General features: G+C 41.8%; 1 protein-coding gene across 13 annotated transcripts in view; it reads right to left on the reverse strand.

Moving 5' to 3' along the window:
• CIT (citron rho-interacting serine/threonine kinase) overlaps positions 1-27,158 on the reverse strand; it is a 191,530-nt gene that overhangs the window by 119,642 nt on the left and 44,730 nt on the right. For 12 of the 13 annotated variants that reach the window (XM_011537788.2, XM_011537787.2, XM_047428134.1 and 9 more), the window contains exons 8-9: positions 19,733-19,936; positions 17,388-17,541 (exon numbers count right to left, since the gene is read on the reverse strand). In XM_011537788.2, the coding sequence (XP_011536090.1) occupies positions 17,388-17,541; positions 19,733-19,936 (358 nt within the window). Of the gene's footprint in view, positions 1-17,387; positions 17,542-19,732; positions 19,937-27,158 lie in introns of those variants that run through there. The other variant, XM_011537790.2, reaches the window with a different exon arrangement.

Consider the following 27,158-nt stretch of genomic DNA (forward strand, 5'->3'; position numbering starts at 1 on the left):
CTGCTATTATTGCTACTGCTCACAGGAATTGCATGCTTAGGAGAGAACCTGCAGGTCTTGAAAGCTAGTGACATAGAGCAGAATCTGTACTGAATGTTCATCTTTCCTGCACAGGGCAGAGACACATCCATGTGGATGTTTGTGTTAATCATATCATTTAATTCCTAGCAGAACTTTATAATTCCTTTCCACTATATACTAATTTATCTTTAGGAGACCAAAATAGAATTCCATTTCTGAGTGAGAAGTATAATTAATGGAGAGTAAAAGCCACCCTCAGTGAAATAATTATGATTTTGAAATCCTGTACTATAAAATAAGATTCATCTATAAAACTCTTGCCATGCTCAAAGCCAGCTTAATGCGGTTAAGATTAGAAAAAGGGGCAGATAATCTTCAAGTTAAAAGGAAGAAGAAGTAGGCCAGGCACAGTGGCTCATGCCTGTAATCCCAGCACCTTGGGAGGGCGAGGCAGGTGGATCACCTGAGGTCAGGAGTTCAAGGCCAGCCTGGCCAACATGGTAAAACCCCATCTCTATTAAAAATACAAAAAAATTAGCCAGATGTGATGGTGCATGCCTGTAGTCCCAGCTACTTGGGAGGCTGAGGCAAGAGAATCGCTTGAACCTGGGAGGTGGAGGTTGCAGTGAGCCAAGATCGTGCCACTGCACTCCAGCCTGGGGAACAAGAGCGAAACACCATCTCAAAAAAAAAAAAAAAAAAAAAAAAGGAAAGAGAAGTCAATGTGAAATATACTAGCTGGTAACAGGTAAGATATTCACAGCAAAGATTAAAAGCTAGGGATATAAACCTCTAGACAGCTAGTCGGTCAAGTACAACAGGAAAGTTTGAAAAGAAGGGCTTCTTAGGGCCACATTCAGGCAGAGGAAAAAGCCACAGCCTTAAGCCAAAAAGAAGTGGGGGAACTGGAAATATTCTGCCACCCAGAAAGTGATGAGATGTTTACCCTTGTCCAGGGCCCTTCAGTGGGAAGGAAATAAAGCAGATAGAAAGAAGCAGTAACCTCAGGTAGAGTGTCCACATTTACAGTATCCTGTTACAATTCAAGAAATTAACATGACTACTGGTCCAGGATCACTGAGCCCTTGGAGCACTGGCAGATGCAAGTGGAGAACAACTTGTAGGGGTGTTTTTGCAACCCAGGGCACACAGGATTTTCTCCCCACCCCACCCCCACCCCAACAACCTCCTTCCAATCCCTACCAGAAATAAATTCACAATTAAAAAGTAAAAATCAACAACTACACCTTACGGGTGCAACAACAGATACAAGAAATGGGAGAATTAGCCCTCCAAAAACTGCAGATAAAAGAACAATCTAAAATGAGCCATGAAACAAATTTTTATTATCAAGGTAAATTAGTAGAAATTCTTATCAAAGAACATGACACTTTGAAAAAGAACCAGGTACATTTGAAAGGAACCAAACTGAACTTCCATAAATAAAAAGTCTTGTTCTTGAATTTAAGGTTAAAAATTCACTGAATATGTTAAATAGCAGACTAGATACAGCTGAAGAGAAACTTAGTGAACTAGCAGTTAGATCTGAGGGAATCACATAGAACCTTGATACTTAAGCTATGGTCTACACACTGGCATTATCACCACCACTCAGGAGCTGGTTAGAATTTAATTCTCTAAGAATCTCAGGCCCTGCCCCATACCCATGGAATCAGAACCTACGTTGTAACAAGGTCCCCAGGTGATTCATGTGCACACCACAGTTCAAGAAGCATTTGTGTACAATGCAACACACAGAGACAAAGAGACGGAAAACATGAGAGGTCAAAAGACAAAGACAGAATGAGAAGATCCAATATACATCTAATGGGGCACAGAAAGAGAGATTAGAGAACTACTTTAAAATCTGGTTGCTGCATTTTTTAAGGATTGTGTAAAATCTGGTCACGTCCAAAAACTAACAAGTATGTTATCACATATATCTTGGGGATATAATTCTTCTATTTCTTGTACCTTATATAAAATGTCTCTTTTTTGATCCTTACAAAATGTGATTTTTTTTTGCTTCAATAAAGGTATTTTTAGTTCACTGAAATCATATTGATCTTGAGTCTATGTTGATGGAGGTACACATGGCACCTCAGTACACAGCACAGTGCCAGGTACCTAGTAGGTGCAGAGTAAATATTTGCTAAGCAAATATATAATTAAATAGCAAGAAAATAGGTCTTGTAAAGAGAGCACCTAACATAACACAGGCCACAAACAGGGTACTTGATGTTTGAATTAAATGAAGAGGTTTTAAAAGTCAAGATTGTTCTGTCTGAGAAATATGTTAATAAGTACCTACACTAATCATTTCTGATACAGTATTATGAAATCATCAGCTCCCCCAGCTGCCACATACCCACCACATTCACTAATGACAAATAAGAAATCATATAGTAAGACCTATTGTTCACTGGGAAAAGCCACTAAAAAAAAAAATAGAAAAAAATATTTCCATATATATTTTTAAATATTTTAATAAATCAGCCTGTTTGAGGTAACATCAGAACACAGTCTCCTTAGTGGCAGAGGCTATACAAGTAACTTCTTGAGGTTGTTTTTTGTTTTTGTTTTTGTTTTTGTTTCAGTTATAAAATAGATAGCAGAATCAAGGCTTTCAGAAACAAAGAGCTATTTTAGGAGCTATAGTTAATTTCTCTTCTATAAATTCTCTCTCTCTCTTTTTTAATCCTAACATTCATTAAAAGCTTTTGAGGGGAAAAAAATTATCATCCTCAAAAATATTCGAAAAAAAACAAGGAAAGAAGAACCAAATGGATTTGTCCTCTTGGGACTCCTTCTAACATGCTCCTTTGAGCTCCAGCTGCCTCATTCCCACCTTTGATTTTTTAGCATAGCCCACTAACACCTCAAACAATACCTGGCTGTCCTTATTTAATGTTTAATATCTATTTTTTAAGAGAATGAATGAAAAACAAGAACCTTACATAGGGGATAATTATTTAGACCTAATGTGCCATTCCACGCAACATACCACTTCAGGAAACCCAGGAAATGATATGCTTCAGAGTACCCAATGTATTCATGAAGAACTAGCATATTAAAAAAAAAAAATACTGAGCCTCGTAAAACTCCTAAGACTTTTAATCATCACCATGGATTGCAGAAATGGGAGATGAATAAGAGCCAGCACTGTGTCATAAAGGATGAAGGCACATAAATAATTATTGTGTGATGATATAATGAATCAGGACTGTGCCTAGAATACAGTGGGCATGCGCTAATATTCAACCAAAAACACGTTCAACTTCGTTCTCTCTACCATGATGTCCCTCGCCCTTTTAAAAAAATGTTAATTGACTAATTAGACACTATGTTCAAATTTAAAGGAAGAGTACCAAAAAAATAGCTATCTTCCAGTTGCTTAAAATCTAGAGCGCTAATGTGATCATACTTATCAATGTTATGAAGACAGAACTGTGAAATAAATGAAGAGGAGAATATGTGTGTTGTTCAGAGGTCAAGATATGGGTGTGAAAAGCAGAGAATACATAAACTGGCTGATGGCAAGTTTTGCCAGTGGGGAATGCAGTACTTTTTTGCAAGTTCCTGCAGGAAAGTGTCACGGAGGGGATTTAATCTCAAGAGCTGGTTAAAAGGTATCTTCATGGGCTGGAGTGGGGAAAAGTGCTACTTTAGAAAAGCCCCAGAAGCCAGAGCAATGGCCCAAGAGCATAGTGAATAATGAGGCAGGGAAGAAAGTGAAAGTGAAGTCTTGATGGATTGACAGATGTAAAACCAGAGTGCTGGGTTAGTGTCAGTACTGAGACGGATACAATCATCTCAATAGTGATGGGTGGAAGAGGCTAGTGCTAGAAACTCTAAAAGACAAGTCTACAATAGTCAACATGACAAATTCTACAAATTCTACACTTAGGCAGATCTACACTAAGGAAATGATAACAGAAACAGAGAGGATGGGATTAACAGGAGACAGGTTTGAATTATTATGAGATATATATATACATATATATAGGTTTTCATCCACGGTTCCTGGCTTATGACTCCCATAGTCCTTGTTACAATCTTTTGTTATTTAGGGGTGCTTTAGGCTTTAGAAGCAGGCCTTGAAAAACAGAATCTCTCTCTCTCTGACCTCCTCCAGCCCTCCTTTCATCTGCTCAAGGCAGGACTCTAATCTTCCCCCACCTTTCTGACTTGGAGCTGGCCATAAAGAAATTTCCTCTGCCTTGTCTGATTGTAGGTCAGAAGACCCCATTTCAGAAGGGGTCCTGCCCCATAACCTGGAGGAATGAATGCTACAGAAGGATCTGAACAAACAGGCCTTGCTGGGATTCCCCACTCAGCCTATGAGGATTAGATCATAGCCTTTTCGTGCAATCCCATTTCTACATGGTTGTTGATCATGCCTATCCAATGGCGTCTCCATGAAAGGTCCCAAGAGGACAGAGTTTGGAGAGCTTCCGGATAGCTGAACACGTGGAGGTTCCTGGAGGGCGACCAGGGAGGGCGTGGAAGCTCGCAACCCTTCCCCCATACCTCGCCCTATGCATTTCTTCATCTTTATCCTTTGCAATGTCCTTTAGAATAAACCAGTAAATGTGTTTTCCCAAGTTCTGTGAGCAGCTCTAGCCAATTAATTGAACTCAAAGAGGGGGCTGCAGGAACCCCAATTTGAAGCCAGTCAGCGAGAAGTTCCAGAGGCCTGGACTTGCAACTGGTGCCTGAAGAGGGGACATTCTTGGGGACTGAGACCTCCACCTGTGGGATTGAGCCCTATCTCCAGGCGGATAGTGCCAGAACTGAACTGGAGGACGCCTAGTGGTGTCCACTGCAGAACTTACTGCTTGCTTGGTGGTGACCACATATTTGGTCACAGAAGTCTTCTGTGGTGTTGACAGTTATGGTGTGAGAGTGGAGGAAAGACAGTGAGTTTTTCCACATTCAGGTTACAGAAAGAAGTAACAAAATGTGGCTGGGCGTAGTGGCTCACACCTGTAATCCCAGCACTTTGGGAAGCAGAGACAGGCAGATCATTTAAGGTCAGGAGTTTGAGACCAACCTGGCCAATATGGTGAAAGCCCATCTCTACTAAAAAAAATACAAAAATTAGCCTGGAGTGGTGGGGTGCTCCTGTAATCTCAGCTACTCGGGAGGCTGAGGCAGGAGAATCCCTCAAACCCGGGAGACAGAGGTTGCAATGAGCCGAGATGGTGGCACTGCCTCCAGCCTGGGCAGCAGAGTGAGATTCCATCATCTCAGAAAAAAAAAAAAAAAAAAAAGTGGCAAAATCTGACAACTGATGTTAGAGCAGAGATTTTGATGGGAGTTCTTATCATGGGAACAACTCTGAGAGAAAAGGCTGCAATGGGAAGAAGAGGAAGATATCCCATATCGAAGTCTCATGGGAATGAACGAAGAGAACAGATTAGGTGATCAGCAAATAGAGCTGGCTACTAAATATGCATAAGTAATTGATCCCAAGAGAACAGATTACATTGCCTAAAGCCTCAGGCAAGCCCTCTAGTTTCTCCCCTCCCACTAGGAAGTGGTCAGGCATGACTTGCCCACACAACACACTGTATATACGAAGTTCAAGACCGGGCCTGGTGGCTAACACTTGTAATCCCAGCATTTTAGGAGGCCAAAGCAGGTGGATCACTTCAGTCTAGGAGTTCAAGACCAGCCTGGGCAACATGGCAAAACCCTGTCTCTACAAAAAATACAAAAAATTAGCCGGGTGTGGTGATGCACATGGGAGAGATGGGAGGATCATCGGAGTCTGGGAGGTCAAGGCTGCAGTCAGCTGTGACTGCATCACTGCTTTCTAGTCTGGGTAACAAAGCAAGACTCTCTCTCAAAAAAACAAAAAAGGTAGTTCAAAAAGAAGACAAAGGAGTTCCAGTTTGCAATAGACTTAAATAAATCAAAAATTATCCCATCTCTTTGCCTCCCCAAAAAGTCATAAAAATACTTCAGGGTAACATTGATTTGGGCTGGTGATCAATTTTTACAATGCTGTCTTTAAAGTCAATGAATAAGGAAGCCAGCATTCCCAAAGTAGCCTTCCATCAATCAATCTAAACAATGCCAGGGTCTGGCTGCCAACAACTAGGCAGATAACCTCTCTGGTGGTGGATTTCAATGGAGATGTGAGCTCTAGCTGGCTCTCGCCATACCCAAAAGCCATGTTCCTATGAGGCTGCTTAATATTAAGTTTTTGGTAATCAAGTTATGTTTCCCCAAAGATTCATACTTTTAGAGATGCTTTCCCTCACTTCTGGATTGCACTTTAACCAGACTTCTTAACATTTTAGCTTTACTTTGTTTTTTTCTCTCCCTCTCAGTCTAGGTACTCAGCAATCTGTGAAACACCTACATAGGCTAGAAATACTCAGAAGAGGAACGTTTCAAATTGCAACTAGTCATGAGTGCATTTCTTTGCAAAGCTGAATTTGGATATACCCAATTTTTCACCCTGGTGGATATTCCCCAGGAATTTTTTTTTTTTTTTTTTTTGAGACTCAGTCTTGCTCTTTTGCCCAGGTTGGAGTGCAGTGGCATGATCTCGGCTCACTGCAACCTCCACCTCCCGGGTTCAAGGAATTCTCATGCTTCAGCCTCCCAAGTAGCTGGGATTACAAGCACCTGCCACCATGCCTGGATACTTTTTTTGTATTTTTAGTAGAGACGGGGTTTTACCATGTTGGCCAGGCTGGTCTCGAACTTCTGACCTCAAGTGATCCGTCCGCCTTGGCCTCCCAAAGTGCTGGGATTACAGGTGTGAGCCACCACATCTGGCCCAACCAGGACACATTTAAGTAATAGCAAAGGAGCTAGTTCATCAGCACCTGCTTGCTGTAGGCCCAGGCAACCTTCCCTTTCAGCACCTTCCGCCATGAATTACGTACACCCAATAACACATCAGACTAGATTCATTCTTTGCTGCCTTCCCGATCTCTTTAGTACCCTTTTATCTCTTTAGTATCCTTTTCTCCAACTTTTTTTTTTTAGAGACAGTGTCTCACTCTGATGCCCAGGAGGGAGTGCAGGGGTGCAATCATAGTTCACTATAAGCTTGAACTCCTGGGCTCAAGCAATCCTCCCACCTCAGCCTCCCAAGTAGCTGGGATTACAGGTGCACACCACCATACCCAGCTAGCTTTTTTTATTATTATTTTTTGGTAGAGACAGGGGTCTTGCTATGTTGCCCAGGCTAGTCTCAAACTCCTGGCCTCAAGTGATCCTCTCACCTCAGCCTCTCAAAACTTTTCTCCAACAGTGAAAAGATTTATTCTTAATTTTTTTTTTTTTTTTTTGAGATGGAGTCTTGCTCTTTCGCCCAGGTTGGAGACATCGCACCCGGCTAGTCTCACCCTTCTACTCACTCCTCCAATAAAGAAGAAGGAGGTTATCTGGCTCATGAAAAGCAGACATTTATTTGGCCATGTTTTACTAGAAGGTAGAATTACTATGTCTTGAAAGTAAGGGCCAAACTTAAAACTTCCCCTTTTACTGCCTAGGCACAGGCATAGCAGGCACTCAACCAACCGAACACTCTTGTCCCCCTTATTTCCATCAGGCCCCCTGTTGTGGCAAGGCCCCCCTCCGACCCCGTTCATGAGGGGAGGCCACCATTCTTCTCTGTTGGTAGGATGGGCAAATTTACCAGAGCCCTGCATCAGAGCTTACTGGGTGCTTGCCCTGCCAAGAATAAAGTGGGTATTTTGGTCTCTATCTGGCTATCTGTTCTTTGTGTGTGTCCTTTATAAGTCAGAATTTTGAAGTGCTGGAAGGGTGGTCTTAGATCCCAAACTGCCAGTGCTGTAGTTGAATGTTCCATCACCACGGATGAACAGAGTTGGCTATATTTATTTTCTCTGAAGTGAGACACCAGAAATCATTTCCAAACTCTCAGTCATGAACCACCTGGGCCTCTAACTCTTTGTCCTGAGGCTTTCATCTCTTTTGATTCCTGCCAACCGCCCTTTTTAGTTCTATCCAAACTTCACCCTCAGAAAATGAGCATAACTGCAATCACCACACTCATAGAATTGATTAGAAAGTTGGCTGCTGAATATAGTCCCAGATGTTTAATATAATTTTGAATCTTTGGCCAAATCATTTCCACATTTGCTTGGTTGTGAAAGGTTTTCCCGCAAGTGAGAATTTAAGGGTTGAAGACTCCAATTTATGGGCTCTCCAACAAACCCACTCTGTTTCCCATCTTCCCCCAAAAAAGGCATTAATTTATCTCACTTAGAATTGATTTACCAAACTTGGATGTGGCATTGCACTGCTGGCTTGCACTAAGAGGCCCAGAAGGAAGCAGTCCTATGGAAATGCCAGGGTACACTTCCGAGGGATGGGGCCCACCAGGTCACAGGGGGTCTCATTTATGGGAAACCCAGTGGTGAAATTCCTCAGGGCTCAGTATTCAGAAAATTGGGTCTCCTCTGAGCAGAGCATTCTGGACTTTTTTTTCATGCGACTGGGGCTCTTGTAACTGTTTATATTCTCCTTTCTGCTTTGGTCACTGGGAGACTGAGAGTCCCAAATCATTCTTCCTTTGGCAACTTAACAGGAACTTCCTTGTTTTTACTTTCAACCCTAACTTTATTTCCCTATCCTCATACTCCTTTCATCTAGATTTCTCTATTTATTCATTGTTATATTTTTAATATTGCAATTATTTCTAGAATAAGTTGCCCTCAATTTATCTTGGAATAAAGTAGAATATTACATATTTTTGACATCTCTGGAAGTAGCTTCTAAATTCAGACTAGTGGGGGAAAATCCTATAATCCTAATTCATAAGCATTTAGCTCTTTTTGGCCTATTTTTTCTTACCAATCATTTACCTTCTAAAAACAGAACAGCCCCCAAGAGACACATAAATATTTGCCTACATATCCCATAAGAGATTATAAGAGCTACTGACTATAGCTCTTCATTATTCCTTTTTTGTTTTAGTAGGTGGCGCCCACACGCTCCTGGTCTAGTAAGTTGAATTTCTACCATCACTACTTTACCATCCCATCCCTCTTGCTCCCCTTCCCGTCCATGCTGATACTCCAAACAGACCCAACTCCTCTTCCTCACTTCCTCCTGCCCCTGAAGTAAGTGAGTGTCCAAAAGGAAGACAAGTTTAAGGGCCAACCAAGCCTAACAGAGAAGCATATCTATGATCCTCATGGAACTAGCTTAGAAAACAAAACATGACCAGATAACCCTTCAAATGACAGGAAGCCTCAAACAAGAAGAACTTTAAAAGGCCCCAAACAAATGAATACACAAACAAGATGAACTTTAAAAGGCCCAAAACATCACGCCTGTAATCCCAGCACTTTGGGAGGCCGAGGCGGGCGGATTACCTGAGGTCAGGAGTTCGAGACCAGCCTGGCCAACACGGTGAAACCCGTCTCTACTAAAAATACAAAAAAATTAGCCAGGCGTGGTGGCGCATGCCTGTAATCCCAGCTGCGTGGGAGGCTGAGGCAGGAGAATTGCTTGAACCCAGGAGGCAGAAGTTGCAGTGAGCCGAGATCGTGCCACTGCACTCCAGCCTGGCTGACAGAGGAAGACTCTGTCTCAAAAAAAAAAAAAAAAAGGGCCCAAAACGAATATGTGCGTGCTCACATACCACACACACACACACACAACACACACACACACACACACACACACACTAAATGCACAAGCCATTGAGATAATGCAATTCTAAAGGCAGGACACTAAACAAAATAAATGAAAAAATAATGTCAAAATCATGATATCACCTGTGGCCTTGTTTAAAAAAAAAAAAAAGCCATAAGGGGTTTTCATTTGAGAAGAGCACTGCTTATCAGAAACCAATGGCTGAGTGGCAGATTCGAAGGATAAGCATGGTAGGGCCATGCTTAAATGAATGAAGTATAAAGATTGCTTCATTCATTTCAATGATGCGGGAAAATAACCTGCCAATAAAAATTACTGAATTTGGCCAGGTGCGGTGGCTCACGCCTGTAATCTCAACACTTTGGGAGGCCGAGGTGGGCGGATTACCTGAGGTTGGGAGTTCAAGACCAGCCTGACCAACATGGAGAAACCCCATCTCTACTAAAAATACAAAATTAGCCAAGCATAGTGGCGCATGCCTGTAATCCCAGCTACTCGGGAGGCTGAGGCAAGAGAATCACTTGAACGTGGGAGGCAGAGGTTGCAACGAGCCGAGATCACGCCATTGCACTCCAGCCTGGGCAACTAGAGCAAAACTCCATCTCAAAAAAAAAAAAATTACTGAATTCTTGGGAGGCAGCATAAAGATGTTGTTAAGAGGATAGGTTGTGCTAGTGTTATAGGAGCATAGAATATTCTGGAAAGTTCTATGAGAAACTGACAATAGTGGTTCGCTTGAGGGAGAGGGGTTGGGCGTGGGGTGGGAAGGAGGCATTTTTCGCCGTATAACCTTCTGTATAATGTGAATTTTCTGCTATGGGCTATACCACTTTTTCAAAAAAACAAAGGCAAAGAGAATTTAGAGTCAGGGAGACCTGAGTTTGATTCCTACCACTGCCAACTTCGGGCTCCATGACCTCATTTGTATTGTGGACTAGTGATAGGACCTGCCTCACAGAGGTTTGGGGAAGAATAAATGGAACAATAATAAGCATAAAGCACTTTGCAGAGCTCCTGGCACATACTAGGCACTCAATAAATGGCATGGTAATATCATACATGTATAAACATGTTAGTGAAGAATACTTATTCCACCCTTAATTAAAATCCAATATGGGACAACAGTAAAGTGGGGTTCAGGGAGTCAAGGAAATATCTTTTTGCTATCAGAAGGCAGAGATTAGGTCAAACCACCATTTTGAAGTATATGAACGATGTAATGTCCATCTAAGAGAAAAGCTTTAAATTCCTCAAAGCAAGGCCTAAAACCCAGCAGTTCTAAGCAGTCCCATTCACCCATAGGAGTCCTGAGCCAAAAAGTGGCCTCCCCATACCTTAAGCCCGAAGACAAAACGAGGAAGACCCACAAAGATGAGCAAGAAACTCTGAGGCTAGCATCCAATTTCTTCCTCTTGCAGGGCTTCACAACTCTAATATGCACAGAAATCCCCTGGGGATCCTTATTAAAATGCAGCTTCTGACTCAGTAGGCCTGAGTCTCTGAAGCTCTAACAAGCTCCTAGATGATTCCGATGCTGCCGGTCCACGGACCACACTCTGAGTAGCAAGGTCCTACTGCCTCCACGTAATAGTTTTGCTGTTCGTTAACAGTAACAGTGGCAGTATTGAGAGATTCAGATTACTGTGATGTTCCCTCTCCTGATAATAACCTGGCCAATTCTTCTAAATCAATGGTTCTCAACTGAAGGTGACTGTAGCCCCCAAGGGGAGACTGGGCAATGTCTAGAGTCATTTTTGGTTGTTGCAACTGCAGGGGGAGGGTGCTACTGGTATCCATGGAGAAAGCACAGCGATGCTGTTCAACATCCTGCAATTCACACAACAGCCCCCACAGCAAAGAATTATCTGGCCCCAAATGTCAACAGTGCCAAGGCTGAGAAACCCTGTTCTAAATAAACAGAAAACAGGACACATCCTGAGTCTTCTCAACTCATCTTGAGATTAGAAATCCCAAGATTAGAAGTGGGCCATCGATCCAACATTGTCCTTTCCCAGGCTAGATCTGAGACATGGGGAGAGTTATAGGTTAGCAGGATGCTGTATGTGGGGAAGAGATCACCAGGTCACAGCCTATAGTCTGTATTTTGCTTAAAATCAAGCACATGTGGGGCCAGGCACAGTGGCTCATGCCTGTAATCCCAGCACTTTGGGAGGCTGAGGCAGGTGGATCACGAGGTCAGGAGACCGAGACCATCCTGGCTAACATGGTAAAACCCTGTCTCTACTAAAAATACAAAAAAATTAGCCGGGCGTGTTGGCGGGCACCTGTAGTCCCAGCTACTCGGGAGGCTGAGGCAGAAGAATGGCGTGAACCTGGGAGGCGGAGCTTGCAGTGAGCCGAGATCACGCCACTGCACTCCGGCCTGGGCAACAGAGCGAGACCCCATCTCAAAAAAAAATCAAGCACATGTGGTTCAGTAAACTAGTGAGGGGAGGCCTACGAAGCATTAAACTTCCCACCATTTGGAGGTACAGCAATTTAACAGGACTACAGCTCTATTCAAGCAAAAGACCGGTTAGGCTCTTAGACTCTAAATTCAATGAAGGTAGGGCCATACCCAAATGTGTTCATCAATGGAGCCACAGCACCAGCACCTGACATTGCACTTAACATACTGTAGAAATTCAAATATCAGAATGAATCATCAATTCAAAAATTCCTGCAATTCTAGGCTGGGCATGGTGGCTCATATCTGTAATCCCATCACTTTGGGAGGCAGAGGGAGGATGATCACTTGAGCCCACAAGTTTGAGACCAGCCTGGGCAAAGATGGCAAGACTCCATCACTTAAAAAAAAAAAAAAATCCAATTCCTGCAATTCCAAATGTTCTTAAATAGACCTAGAGATTAAATCACTCTCTAGTGTGACATGGTTTATTATTTGCCATCATCACAAATATTATTACTAATAACAATAACTTATGCAAAGGCATATATAGTATTGTAGAAAGAGCATGGGCTTTGGAATCACACAGACCTCCACCCAAATCCAGAATCCCTTATTCACTTGCCCTATGACCTTGGCCAAGTTACCACAGTAACCACATCTGTAAAATGGGTATAATAATCCTTACATTTGACAGAAGTGTTTTGAAGGAGCATAGTGTAATATACTTGAATGCCTAGTGGTTAGCACAGAATAGGTACTCCCTAAACAATATTGTTGACCATACTAAAGGACTAGAAAAAAAAAGAAAAAACCCAAGGAGGTACATGGTGCTTATTTCTACACACAAAAATTTGTAAGACTTTCACCTGAAGCTAAGTAGGCACAGAATCCCTATCCCCCAAACCAAAGACTGTCTTCCCTCAGGATTATTGAGCAACCATATTATACACTTGAGGTTTCATTGTCACTATTGAGGGCCAGCTAGCAAATAAGCAGCAACAATCAAAACGATACCTATTTGGAAGAAGACTATCTCAGCGTTTCATCAGCATGGGACCACCACTGAGTCACTGCCGGATGGAAACAAAGTGTACTTTCTGCTAACAAATGCTGAGGACCTGAAAAATCAGGATCATGTGGCAAGAATTGTTTCTTTCAGAGAATAGCAAAAGAAAGACAACTCAAGAGAAAAAGCCCATGTCAGACGCAACAGACCATCCGAGTTCTCTAGCGCATTAGCCATAATGTCCTAGGAAATAATCCGTGATCACCACTTCCATTATGCATTTCTCACTGTTGAGATATGGCAGTCTTGCATAAAACGTACAAGTGTGCTGGTTCCGTTGACATCACGATGCCTCGGGGGAAGATATCTTAAAAGATGTTGATAGAAGACAGTACCAGACAGCAAAACTTTCCCATGGATGGGAGCAGGTACACGATGCCAGGCAAGGTAAGCATAATCCCAAAGGCATGAAAGAGGAGCTCTGATTGGCTTCAGCTTTCCTGAAGCCCAGAAAGATCAGGCTGGGTACAGCCAGAATCCGGCCCAGCATCTGAAACATCGCCGGAACTGCACAACCAGGGCAGCTGGTACGCTTAGGAAACCCCCCACTGAAACTTGGAAAGCAGCCTTGAAATAATGATAATAATAAATAAGCAGCTGAAAAACCAATCTTGTGGGAGGCTGGAAATGAAACAGAATAATGAGAGCCTGGTGACCCATGAGCATGGCAGTCACTCATCACAGAGTGTTCGACTTGCTGGAAGAATAAGTATCCTGGAACTGGGTCAGATGCCTGGTTCATGGGGTGCTGCCTGCAGCAACCCCAAGAGGCAGGACCCAGGAGTGTACAGAAGCTACGCCTGACCTCAGTGTCAAAGCAAAGGCGCATCCTAGTTTCTCTCGGTAGCCACTCCCAGTTCTGTCATTCATAAATTTGCCAAGACCTTTCTTAAATTGCATTTATATATCCTGCCAGGACCACCTCTTGAGATAATGAGTTTTAGAAGATTATTACCTGCTGTGTTAAGCAGTACTTCCTTTCATTGGTTACAACAAGAAAAAGAAGAATTGGGGGTGAAACCGCACAAAGGCTAATGTTGCTTTTAACAAGGGACAATCTCTTATTGCAGAAGGCAGAAATATTCGACAGCCTGGAACCACCAGGCATTTAAGCAGCATCCATGAACTTGGGAAACTTAATGATTCGAAGTATTTCGGTTGATGAAAATCACTCAACATGTGTTTATGAAAAACAGTGCTAGATAAAAGCATAATTTATGTTACAGTTACCTAGTTAGAAAATAGCTTAAAGAGCATGGAGTCAAGCAATGTTTTCAATCACAAATCTCTGAGTTGATTGCAAATAATGCAGGGATCAGAGGTTGGTGAAAAACAGGAAAATTTGCTAGGAGACACTGAAGTTAATACCATGCCTCTCTGCATAGTCGGAAATGCCATAAAACCACCAGGAAAACACAATACCAATCCTCGGTGGGCATGAAGATCCCACCTGCTGGCTGAGCTACACTAAGTATCTAAACTAGGACCAGTCCCATCAAATATAAACACCCTAACTGCAATATGGTACCACGGATTGATTCCTGAAACAGAAAAGGGACATGAGTGGGAGAATTGGTAAAATCCAAAAAAAGTCTGAAGTGTAGTTAACAATAATGTACCAATATTAGTTTTGACAAATAGTTTTTCAAACACTTAGACAGTGACACTGTTATGTAAGAGTTAACACTGGGGGCTGGGTGCGGTGGCTCATGTCTGTAATCCCAGCACTTTGGGAGGCTAAGGTAGGCAGATCACCTGAGGTCAGGAGCTTGAGATCAGCCTGACCAACATGGTGAAACCCTGTCTCTACTGAAAATACAAAAAGTAGCCGGGCATGGTGGCGCACACCTGTGGTCCCAGCTACTCGGAGGCTGAGGCAGAAGAATCACTTGAACCCAGGAGGCGGAGGTTGCAGTGAGCCGAGATCGTGCCACCACACTCCAGCCTGGGCGACGGGAAGACTGTGTCTCAAAAAATAAATAAATAAATATAAAAAAGAGTTAACGTTGGGGAAAACTGGGTGAAGGGTATGTGGGAACTCTTCCATACTATCTTTGCAACTTTTCTATAAATCTAATACTATTCCAAAATAAAAGATTTATTAAAATTAGGGCTGGGTGCAATGGCTCACGCCTGTAATCCCAGTATTTTGGGAGGCCAAAGCAGGAGGATCACTTGAGCTCAGGAGTTCAAGACCAGCCTGGGCAACCTGGTGAAACCGCGTCTCTACAAATACAAAAAAATTAGCAGAGTGTGATGGCACACACCTGTAGTCCTAGCTACTTAGGAGGCTGAGGTGGGAGGACTGCTTGAGCATGGGAGGTCGAGGCTGCAGTGAGCCGTGATCACACCACTGCATTCCTGCCTGGCCCACAGAGTGAGACTCTGTCTCAAAAGTAAATAAATAAAGATTTACTTAAATTAAAAGAATTTTTTGGCCAGGCGTGGTGGCTCACACCTGTAATCCCAGCACTTTGGAAGGCCGAGGCAGGCAGATCACCTGAGGTCAGGAGTTCAAGATCAGCCTGACCAACATGGAAAAACCCTGTTTCTACGAAAAATAGAAAATTAGCTGGGTGTGGTGGTGCATGCCTATAATCCCAGCTACTTGGGAGGCTGAGGCAGGAGAATCGCTTGAACCCAAGAGGCGGAGGTTGCAGTGAGCTGAGGTCGCACCACTGCACTCCAGCCTGGGCAACAAGAGCAAAACTCCGTCTCAAAAAAAAAAAAAAGAATTTTTTAAAGCAAATACATTTTGTGAGTCTTCAGAGCCACTACACTGGGAGCTGGGAGTCAAATATATTATGCCTAATTTATAAGTTAAGCTTTATATAACATAGGTATGTATGCACAGGAAAAAAGGTAGATGGGTTTCAGTACTATCATCAGTTTCACACATCCACTGGGAGACTTGGAACATATGTGCCACAGATAGGAGGGTGGGGGACTACTTTAACTCTACTCAGGTAATCACCATTCACTGACTTACTTAAGTGGAGATACATTCTTAGACATGATCAGCAGGTTCATGAATAAAAAAAATTAACTGCTTATTCAAGAAGATTACAGAGATAAAAAGGCAAGACAAGAAAAGATTAAGTACTTGAACAGCATCTAAAAGAAAGTCTATTACATCTTTCTAAAAGCATAAAAGGAAGAATGCCCTGAAAATATATTACTGATTAGAAGGTCTGAACCTTGGAGATTTGGGGGGAGATGTCTATTTATTTAGAAAAATAAAGCAATGTGGCCACCCGAATAATAAAAACATTTGCCAAGAAAGATTTATGGAAATGCGACCTACTTAAATATTTCAGCAGAAGGTTAGAGAAACCATCAAAATGGTTTACAACTGGACAATACTGATTTTTTACCATACTATGTCCTAGCTGAAGGTGCAAGCAATTATAATTATAACACATCTCCAATCAGAAGCCTGGTTTTGACACCTAGAAACAGATTCCATTTCCCAACCTCCCTCCATCACCAAAAACAAAACACATACTCAAACAGGATAACTGCTTTCCTACTGGCTCTAATCCGTGCTGATCATTCAGTAGAACACATTCAATCAACAACACATCCAAGAATTAAAAGGATTTTTAAAAGATCACCAACTGGTAAAAGAAAAAAGAGCATTGTGTGGTTTCTGTTGATAATAAACCAGGTCTTTGTTTTTAATGAATTCATTCAGTTTGCACTAACTGATTATAAAAAGTGATGTATGAATGAATCTACTGTGCATATACATTATAGGTTTTACATGCTTGTGAGCAAAGACAAATATTATCGAGGGAAACAAATGAATAAACACAGGGAGGTGTTTATGGTTTTTGTTTAAACTCAGCCATTAGCAGAACAACCTGGGCATGTTGCCTAATCTGAGTCTTTTTCCTGATATGTGAATGAAATACCTAGATCCACTTTTTTGGAAGAAACTGTGTCAAACCAAGTGACAACCTTCAAACTCCATTAATCTGTGCCTCTAACTTACTGAGGGATAATATTCTAAAGGCCACATAAACACAGAGTTTGATAAATGACCCAGTTCTACACAAACAATTTTAAGGCAGAATTATTACTCAAAGACAGCTACATCATTAGCCTTTACTACTCCTGTAGATAATTAAAGCCTTTATTTATGTAATTTACAGAAGCTTCTTTGGGCCAGAACAATCTCAGATCTCTCTTGAGTGTTTCATAATCCCAACATCCCAAATTAAGGAAAACAGCCCTACTTACAGTTACGAATGTTGTTCCAGTCAATTTTAGAGAAGAAAGGATGGCAGCAAAGACCTTCAAACTTCAGTCTCTCTTTCTGGCCGCACAACAAGCTTTGAATCAGATCAAGAAAGTCACTGCTCACTTTGGGGTCATCTGGAAATTTCAAAAACCGCTGTTCCAAAAAAAATAAGAGAATTATTTCCTTAGTAGGGATTCCGTTTCTCATGCTGCAAAGTGAAGAAAGTATTTCTCATATATGCAAGTTTCTTTTTTTTTGTTTTTTAGAGAAGGAAGTTTCGTGCCCTCTTCCCTTTGGACCAAAGGCGTGTTCCCAAAATAAGTGGCCTGTTCACATCAATAGGCTTAGTTCCTTTGTAGGGGTTCAGCGTCCTCCATGGCTTGACCCCGGCTCCCCTTCTCATCTCATCTTGCCACATTCCCCATCTCTCCCTTTGCTGTCCAACAATGATGAGCTATTTAAAGATCCCTGAACAAATCATGCTGTTCTTGCTGCTTTCCTTGGCTACCTTTTCTATCCTATAACTCCTTTCTGCATGTTCCCTCTGCACTCTACTTTTGCACACACACAATGCGCTGTGATTTCAGTGTGATGAAAAAGAAAGAAGGCAGAGAGGGCCTGCTTCTTCTGCTCATCCCTGTAAACCTGCTACCTAACAGTACCTGGTATGATAACGCACTCGTTATTGAATGATTGAATGAGTGAGTGAGCTAAAGGGAAGGAAATAAATTAGCTCCAAGAGTCATCTAAGGGGAAATTTTCACTCAAGAGGAGGCTCAAGAATAACAAATAATGTATGTACATAAAAATATGTATTAAGCATTCCAGAAAGATGAAAATTAGGTGAGATACAAAAATCTAGGAAATACGTTCCTTTTCCTTTTGGTTGAAACTAAAACATATACATTTATCAGAGCCTTAAGAAATGAGCTTCACAGGCTAGGCACAGTGGCTCATGCCTGTAATCCCAATACTTTGGGAGGCCGAGGCAGGCGGATCACCTAAGGTCAAGAGTTCAAGACCAGCCTAGCCAACATGGTGAAACCCCATCTCTACTAAAAATACAAAAATTAGCCAGGCATGGTGGTGGGCACCCGTGATCCCAGCTACTCAGGAGGCTGAGGCAGGAAAATCGCTTGAACCCAGGAGGCAGGGTTGCAGTGAGCCGATATTGTGCCACTGCACTCCAGCCTGGGTAACAGAGCAAGACTCCATCTCAAAAAAAAAAAAAAAAAAAAAATAGGCTTAATGTAGTAGAAAGCACAGTTATTAGAAAATAGTTTTACTGTATATATATATATATATATATATATATATATATACAGTAAAACACATATCTATATGTAATTGTATTTCTAATTCATTTCCTCATTCAATTGTAATACCATATTCAACAGTTAGTACTAAGAAGGAGTATATCGAAAAATCAAGAGCATGGACTTCAGGGCCAGACTGCCTGTGTTATTTCAGGCCAGTTACTTCACCTTCAGTGCTTTGGTTTCCTCATCTATAAATGAAAATAATAATACTTACCTCACAAGGTTGTTTGAAGATTAACTAACTGACTAAACTATATCTCCTCAATTCTAAGACTCACAGTTATTCACAGTTAACAGCACTGAAATCAAGATGCATTCTATAATCAATAAAAATATCATAGACTCATTGGCAACAGTTTTTCTTCCGTAGCAGTACATAAAATAATGGTGTAGTCTTATCATTACTGGCAGCTGAGATTCCGTGAAATACAATTAATAAAATGTTTAGAATAGCCTTTGGCACAGAGTTAAGTGCCATATAAGTATTTGCTATTATTATTTTCCACCACTGCTGAAACACTCATTCACACAATTTTTAAATAACATCTAACATTCTATAAACATTCATTCACACAATACGTATAAAATATTCATGAACACAATTTTTAAACAACATTCTAGAAACATTCATTCACACAATTTTTTGGTTTTTTGTTTTGTTTTGTTTTGTTTTTTAGACGGAGTCTCACTCCGTTGCCCAGGCTGCTGTAGTACAGCGGCGCGATCTTGGCTCACTGTAAGCTCCGCCTCCCGGGTTCATGCCATTCTCCTGCCTCAGCCTCCAGAGTAGCTGGGACTACAGGCGCCCACCACCACAACTGGCTAATTTTTTTGTATTTTTTAGTAGAGATGGGGTTTCACCATGTTAGCCAGGATGGTCTCGATCTCCTGACCTCGTGATCCACCCACCTCGGCCTCCCAAAGTGCCGGGATTACAGGCATGAGCCACCACGCCCAGCCTCATTCGCACAATTTTTAAATAACGTTTCTCAATGTGACTTCGAAATCTTCTAAGGACTCTTTACCTGGAAATTCATAATGTTATTGAAGGTTCTGGCAGAGGTTCCCTCTGCGAAGGGGGATCTCCCATAAATCATCTCATAGGCAATCACGCCCACTGACCACCAGTCACAGTCCAGGCCGTAGGTGCCTTTTCCATCCCCGTTCATCACAGTCAGCACTTCAGGAGCCATGTAATCTGGGGTCCCAATCGGGAGTTTGGCATTCACCTAGAATCCCATCAATAAAACGAATACAGCAAACTTTCAATTATCCTCAAGTAGACTGCCAACAGCCACATTTCAGACACAAGCTGATTTGCCACTGATTACTATTCTCCCAGGCACTTAAACCAGCTGTCAAGTGGCACACTGTCAGGAAATGCAAACGCTTTACTAATTTAAAAAAAAAAAAAAAGCACACAGCATATAATGCAATCCAAGGGCAAAAGGGCAAGAATTGTTGATGATATACACACAGCCTTCAGTTATACGAATGAGAGTTGGATATACCGGGAATGGAAGATGTCTTTCCTAATACAAGTTATTGACATGATGGAACTTCTCTTATGATAACAGCAAAATGATAATAAACTCTAAAAATGAATCTAAAATATCAACCTAACCATTACTAGAAAACTGGCAGTTGGCCAGGTGCAGTGGCCCATGCCTGTAATCCCAACACTTTGGGAGGCCAAGGTGGGTGGATCATTTGAGGCCAGGAGTTTGAGACCAGCATGGCCAACATGGTGAAGCCCCATCTCTATTAAAAATACAAAAATTAGTCAGGTGTGGTGGTGCACACCTGTGGTCCCAGCTACTCGGGAGGCTGAGGCACAAGAATCGCTTGAACCTGGGAGGCGGAGGTTGCAGTGAGCCAAGATTGCGCCATTACACTGCAGCCTGGGTGACAGCGAGACTGTAAGAAAAGAAAAGAAAAAAGAGAAGAGAACTGGTGGCTAACTGGCAAGATAATATTACAAATCTCAAGTTCAAAAATTTGGAAAACTGCCTTTGGAATTAACGTTCCTACTTCAACCCACCCACAGGGCAAGACATGATAATTAACTTCCACCCAGGGCCCAAGGTTAATGAGTTCTTTTTCCTCACCCCTAACCCTTGTTCCTGTGGTTCCCTCCCCCACCGTTCAGAAACCCAGGGGCTTATAATCCAATGGCACCCAAGCACTTGACCTTGGCAAAGAAAGATTAGGACAATACAGGAGGGCATTTTATAAAGCTAAATGTAACCCATTTAAAGGACTGTCCTTTTTTTCTGAGAATTTGTCCTTCTGACTTTTTTAGTGTTTAAATGTCCTTTGTTTCTGGATATGCTGTTGATGAAAGAAGCAGGCTTTCTTCCCCTCATACCCACCCCTGTCTAGGCAGCCTAGTAAGCTAGCAACCCCTTTGGTCTTCAAAATTATTTTGACGTTTTACTGAGCCATGAAATTTGAAGTCTAAAGATTCCTTCTCTAACTTTTCTCCCCATCAAAACAGAGAGGCCCTGATTTTAGCTATATAGTGTGTTGGCCAGCTGTCCTATAACTCTATATCATAATGGGCTTCTCTCAGGTCAGCAGTTACATGGTACAAAAGAACTTTTTCCTCATTAAACGATGGTAAGTGAAACTGAGTGAGCCAAGAGATTTTGTGGGTAAGTCCACATACCTTGAAGGCTGGGCTTTTCACCAAGGAAGTAAATTTGCTTTACTTTAACTGGGTGTGGAGAGGAAAGTGAATGTTTAGTGAGGACGTGATGAGGTCTCCTCTCCCCGGGGCTGATTCTGGATGAAGCTCTTCCAGCCTGTAACTTGAATCTCATCCATTCCTCTGCCATGAGACTTTCTCGTTATATGAAACAGACCTATTCTTCCCTCTCCTCTCTTTTTACCTCTTCCCTAGGGCCCACGCTCTGATACAGGTTTTTCCAAGCCCTAAACCCAGAAAGCAGTGTGATATAATCATTCCTGACATGGATTGTCCACCGGTTTGGGCAATAAAACTTCCCCTGTAAGTGCCCCTTCAAGAAAGCCAGATGGTCACACTATCCAAAACCCACAGGCAGGCTTGGCTTGATAGACAGAAGGGGAGACAAAGGGGAAAATATTTGGCCTAAGACAAAACCACAGGGTGACTTAAGCTTGAAGAACTGAAAGTAGCTTAAGTCAAGGAGAAGACTTAATATGTTGGGAAATCTGGGCTGATTCTGTTTTTTAATATGTATGTAAATGTTAAAGAGCTCAGCACAGGTTAGGGTTAAACTAAAGGGTTTTGGTTAAAATGCACCAACAATAACCAATAGATTTTTTTTTTTTCCGAGATGGAGTCTCGCTCTGTCACCAGGCTGGAGTGCAGTGCTGCGATCTCAGCTCACTGCAACCTCCTCCTCCCAGGTTCAAGCAATTCTCTTGCCTCAGCCTCTCGAGTAACTGCGACTACAGGTGCATGCCACCACACCCAGATAATTTTTGTATTTTTAGTAGAGACGGGGTTTCACTATGTTTGGCCAGGATGGTCTCGATCTCTTGACCTCGTGATCCACCCATCTTGGCCTCCCAAAGTGCTGGGATTACAAGTGTGAGCCACGGAGCCTGGCCACAATAGATATTTTTTAAATAACAAAACAAGAGAAGGAAAACTGTAACATCTTGATTTGACTAGGTAATGAAAATGCTACTATATTGTTGATTAAATACTTATCCTTTATGTCTAATTACCTTGCAGGACCTAACTACGCAATTGTTGAATACATACCATTTGCACTTACTGGATTTCATTTTTATTGCCACAGACTGTTCAGGAATATTCAGTTCTCCTTATTTGCAGCTCACAGGGCAGTCACTTGTTCACAACCAAAGAGTTGCAAAAACAGAATTGACTGGGGAGTGTTTCTCAGGACAACCCAGCCAAACAGTATGAATTGCCAATGCCCCATTTTCAAACTAATGATAAGACTTATCAAAGAAAGATAATTCCCCAACTAATTTTTGCCCCCTAACAGATACATGATTATACACATTTATGCACAATCATTTTCTAATTTTCTAAATTTTATTAATTTGTACTAGAAAGCTATGAAGGGAAAAATACCCACTGGCTTCCTCTTAAGTGCATAATAGTGATTAGCAAAGGCATTACTCTTTGTTAATTAACAAATCTCTAAGTGTGTAATAGTAATTAACAAACATTTTTAATGACAGTTAATGACTGCTAAGTTCCCATTAGTCACTGACCCCCAAGCACATTAAACCTGTTCAACACATAATCTCACATGTCCTGATTATGATTTTGCAATATGCTTTCACTCTCCTCTGGTGGCAATTCAGTCAGCTAATCTCGGTGAGATATTAAAAGTGAAACTGTAGTAGGGGCCCAGCCTGCCTGCAGGAGGACACTATCTGATAGGGCCCAAGTACTACTTAACTTAGTTAATTTTTTTTTTTTTTTAAAGACTGCTCTGTCGCCCAGGCTAGAGTGCAGTGGCGCGATCTTGGCTCACTGCAACCTCCAGCCCCTGGGTTCAAGCAATTCTCCTGCCTCAGCCTCCCGAATAGCTGGGACTACAGGTGCGCACCACCACACCCAGCTAACTTTTACAATTTTTTTTTAGTAGAGACAGGGTTTCACCATGTTGGCCAGGCTGGTCTCAAACTCCTGACCTCAGGTGATCTGCTCGCCTCGGCCTCCCAAAGTGCTGGGATTACAGGCATGTGCCACCACTCCTGGCCAACTTAGTTAATTTTTACTGTATTAACAGGGAAGAAAATAAACAAGTTCAGAAGACTATATGAGAATGACTAGGGGACAGAAGAGTCTGCCATATTTTGGGAGAAAGGGGGAGAAGGAAAAGAAAGGAAGGAAGGAAGGAAAGGGGGGAAGAACTGAAAGAGGGAGAGAGGGAGGGAGAAAGAAAAGAGTTAGCTTAGCAGGTTCTTTCACTAACAAAAAGCAGATGAGGAAGAAAGAAAACCAATGTCTTCCTCCTCCTAACCCCTTTCCATAAAATGCTTCAACATGGTGAAACCCCATCTCTACTAAAAATACAAAAATTAGCCAGGCATGGTGGCGGGCACCTGTAATCCCAGCTACTCGGGGAGCTGAGGCAGGAGAATCTCTTGAACCCAGGAGGCGGAGGTTGCAGTGAGCCAAGGTCGCCCACTGCACTCCAGCCTGGGTGACAGAGCAAGACTCTGTCTTGAAAGAAAAGAAGAGAAGAGAAGAGAAGAGAAGAGAAGAGAAGAGAAGAGAAGAGAAGAGAAGAGAAGAGCTTACAAATAAAACTATTTAAACCTAACTTTACCCATCAAGTTGCCTAGGGCATAAGCATATACCTGCAGAAGCAGGGGGAAAAGGAGTTCTTACTATGTCGTTCCTCTTGTGGAAAATAAAGCTTTTCACTCCTACACAAATCTAAAAAGGGCTATCTCTTGTGGGGTTGCAACTGCCAAATGGGGTTGATTATCACTTACTATGCTATATAATGTGGTTTATCTACAATCTCCTTATGACTGTTTTCATGAGAGCCAAATGAGACAGATTGGAACTCAGCTGTTCACCATTCTTTGAGATTCTAATAAAGTGAAGTGGGTGACCTAAGTCACACAGCAGGTCCTAGAGTCACTAGGCCCTGTGTTTACTAACAGAAAATACTCCAAAGCAACATTCTGAATGAGAAGCTTGAAATAAGACAATGGATAATGGAAAACTGAACAGATCTAAGATTCACAGGTATCCAAAATACGAAGATATTACGTGGGGGTGATAGGGAAGGGATTGATTGATTTGGGGTAAGTAATATATGGTAGTTCCAGTAAATGTGGATTATATTTTATATGGTATACTATGAGTACAGGCAACATTTAGAACCTACTTTAGGCCTACAGACATTTCATTTAAAGGAAATATGTTTAACCCAAAACCACTATTAAAAATATCCCCCCAAAAATTATAATTTTATATCCACACTTGACTTGATCTAGTGTGCAGATTATTGCTCTTCTATAAGAAAAAGGACTTTGCACTTAATGCAAAAAATTCCTTATCTGCCTGTCACGTTCCAACCCTAAAAGCTCAAGAGAAAAAGAGAGGCAATATTCTCAAGTGTGTGGTATAGAGTGTCATATCTCCTTGACCAAAATAATCAGAGATTGAGCCTTGTTGTAAATAAACCTGGGAGGCTCCCCACCTGGAGTGAAGGTTGTTACAATTATAACTGAAAAGGGCAGTCTGAAGCACTAAAAAATTGAAACTGGGAACCCTGTCTCTCCACCAAGAGCTCCGAAGAGAATGACCCCAGACACAGAGATAGGGTCTTATTCTTAATTCCTATTTATTTACCAAGCAGTAACTTTGGAACTTGATTAGTTTGCTGAGGTTTTCTTACTGCAAACACATATTCCTGTCTAATTAATTAGCTTTCTGATGCTTCTCAACCTACTGCAGGCATGATCAACTAAGGGTTCTCAAACCCCACTTCCCCCAACCCTCCTACCCCAGGCACATCTGGCAATGTCTAGAGACATTTTTGGTTATCACATCTGGAGGGGAGGGTGCTAATGGCATCTAGGAGGTAGGAGTCAGGGATGCAGCTAAACATCTTATACAGCGCATCCCCCACAACAAAGAATTATTCAGATCAAAATGTCAGTAGTGCTGAGGTTACACTGTCAATGTACCTTGCTTCAATTTATTTCTAAATCCATGATTTTTTTTTAATTTCACGAATGCAGCATATAAATTTGTTTTAAGACAGGGTCTTGTTCTGTCGCCCAGGCTGGAATGCAATGGTGCAAACACGGTCATTGCAGCCTCAACCTCCTTCGCTCCAGCGATCCTACTGTCTTGGCCTCCCATGTGGCTGGAGCTACAAGCATGTACTACCATGTCTGGCTAATTTTTTGATTTTTTGTAGAGACTAGGTCTCATTTTGTTGCCCAGGCTGGTCTCAAACTCCAGCAATCCTCCCGCCTCGACCTCCAAACGTGCTGGGATTACAGGTGTGAGGCACTACACCCGGCCCATATAAATGTTTAATCCTAAGTGATAAAACTGCATTATTTTAACTTTTTTTCTGTGCTTTATTCCACTAAATTTAATACCTAAGTTTTCATGCCTGTTTCTAAATTGTACATAATTTTTAAAACATAAAATGCTTTGTAGTTATAGCAATATAATCTAATTCTTAATGTAATGATCAAGTGAACAGATTACAAGAAAATAACCTGAAAAAAAGAATAGTGCTGAGGTTGAGAAACTTTGACACTGGACAACATAGGGAACTTATTTTTCCAAGGGCCTGAACACCAAGAAAATTATCTCAAGTAGGTCTCAGGTCTGCAGAACAGACAGGCCAGATGCTAGAAAGCAAAAAGTTAATGCAACTCCAAGCCTTTTCTTAACATCAACCTAATAATATCCACTTTTCTGGAAGCAGTTTAAGAAAAAAAAGAGCCGGGCGCAGTGGCTTATGCCTGTAATCCCAGCACTTTGGGAGGCCGAAGCGAGTGGATCACGAGGTCAGGAGATCGAGACCATCCTGGCTAACACGGTGAAACCCCGTCTCTACTAAAAATACAAAAAATTAGCTGGGCATGGTGGCGGGCGCTTGCAGTCCCAGCTACTCGGGAGGCTGAGGCAGGAGAATGGCGTGAACCCAGGGGGGCGGAGCTTGCAGTGAGCCGAGATCGCGCCACTGCACTCCAGCCTGGGGGACAGAGCGAGACTCCGTCTCAAAAAAAAAGAAAAAAGAAAAAGAAAATTTTACATATTGTCCTTTATGTAAAGGATTTAACTCTCAGACTTGGGGGGCATTTTGAAGAGCAGCTTCTCTAACCTCTTAAATTATGCATTTTCACTAGCATCAGTTTTTTCTAGAGAAAGTATAAAAGATCAAGTTCCCAAGGATTTGTCTAGGTCACCAAATGGCTCAGTTGTAAAATCAGTCTTAAAACCTAAGTCGATTTTCTCTTAGACCTATCCTTTTTTGCGGAGTTGACTTCCAAATTCATATTTTAGTACATACCAACTTTATTAGAAGATTTTTAAACTCTAATCTTTTTTTACTTTGTCATCTTTTTCCTAAAGTAGTCTCACTCTTGATCTCAGTAGCTACCCTCCTGCCGTCCTACTTAGCATGTGGAATACAGTTTAATTTCTACCAAAGATCCAAGACTTAAAAATGATATTTTGAGCACTTGGTTCTTAACACTTAAGGATATTTGGTTCAAATGCTCCAGTGATTAATTTCAATTTTGCTGCATAGGAAATAGAGGATTTGACATGCAGGAGTTTCCATTTCATCAAAATATTTTAAAGTAAAAAAGATAATATAACAAAAGACAGTCTATAACAGGCAAGGAAAATGAAGAGAGAAACAAAATAAGCATTTTCCTTTATTTCTAACCAAACTATAACAATGCTCCTAAAAATGTCTTGGAGGGTATTAACAGGCA

Source organism: Homo sapiens, chromosome 12 (genome assembly GCF_000001405.40).
Source record: "Homo sapiens chromosome 12, GRCh38.p14 Primary Assembly".
Taxonomy (NCBI): Eukaryota; Metazoa; Chordata; class Mammalia; order Primates; family Hominidae; genus Homo; species Homo sapiens.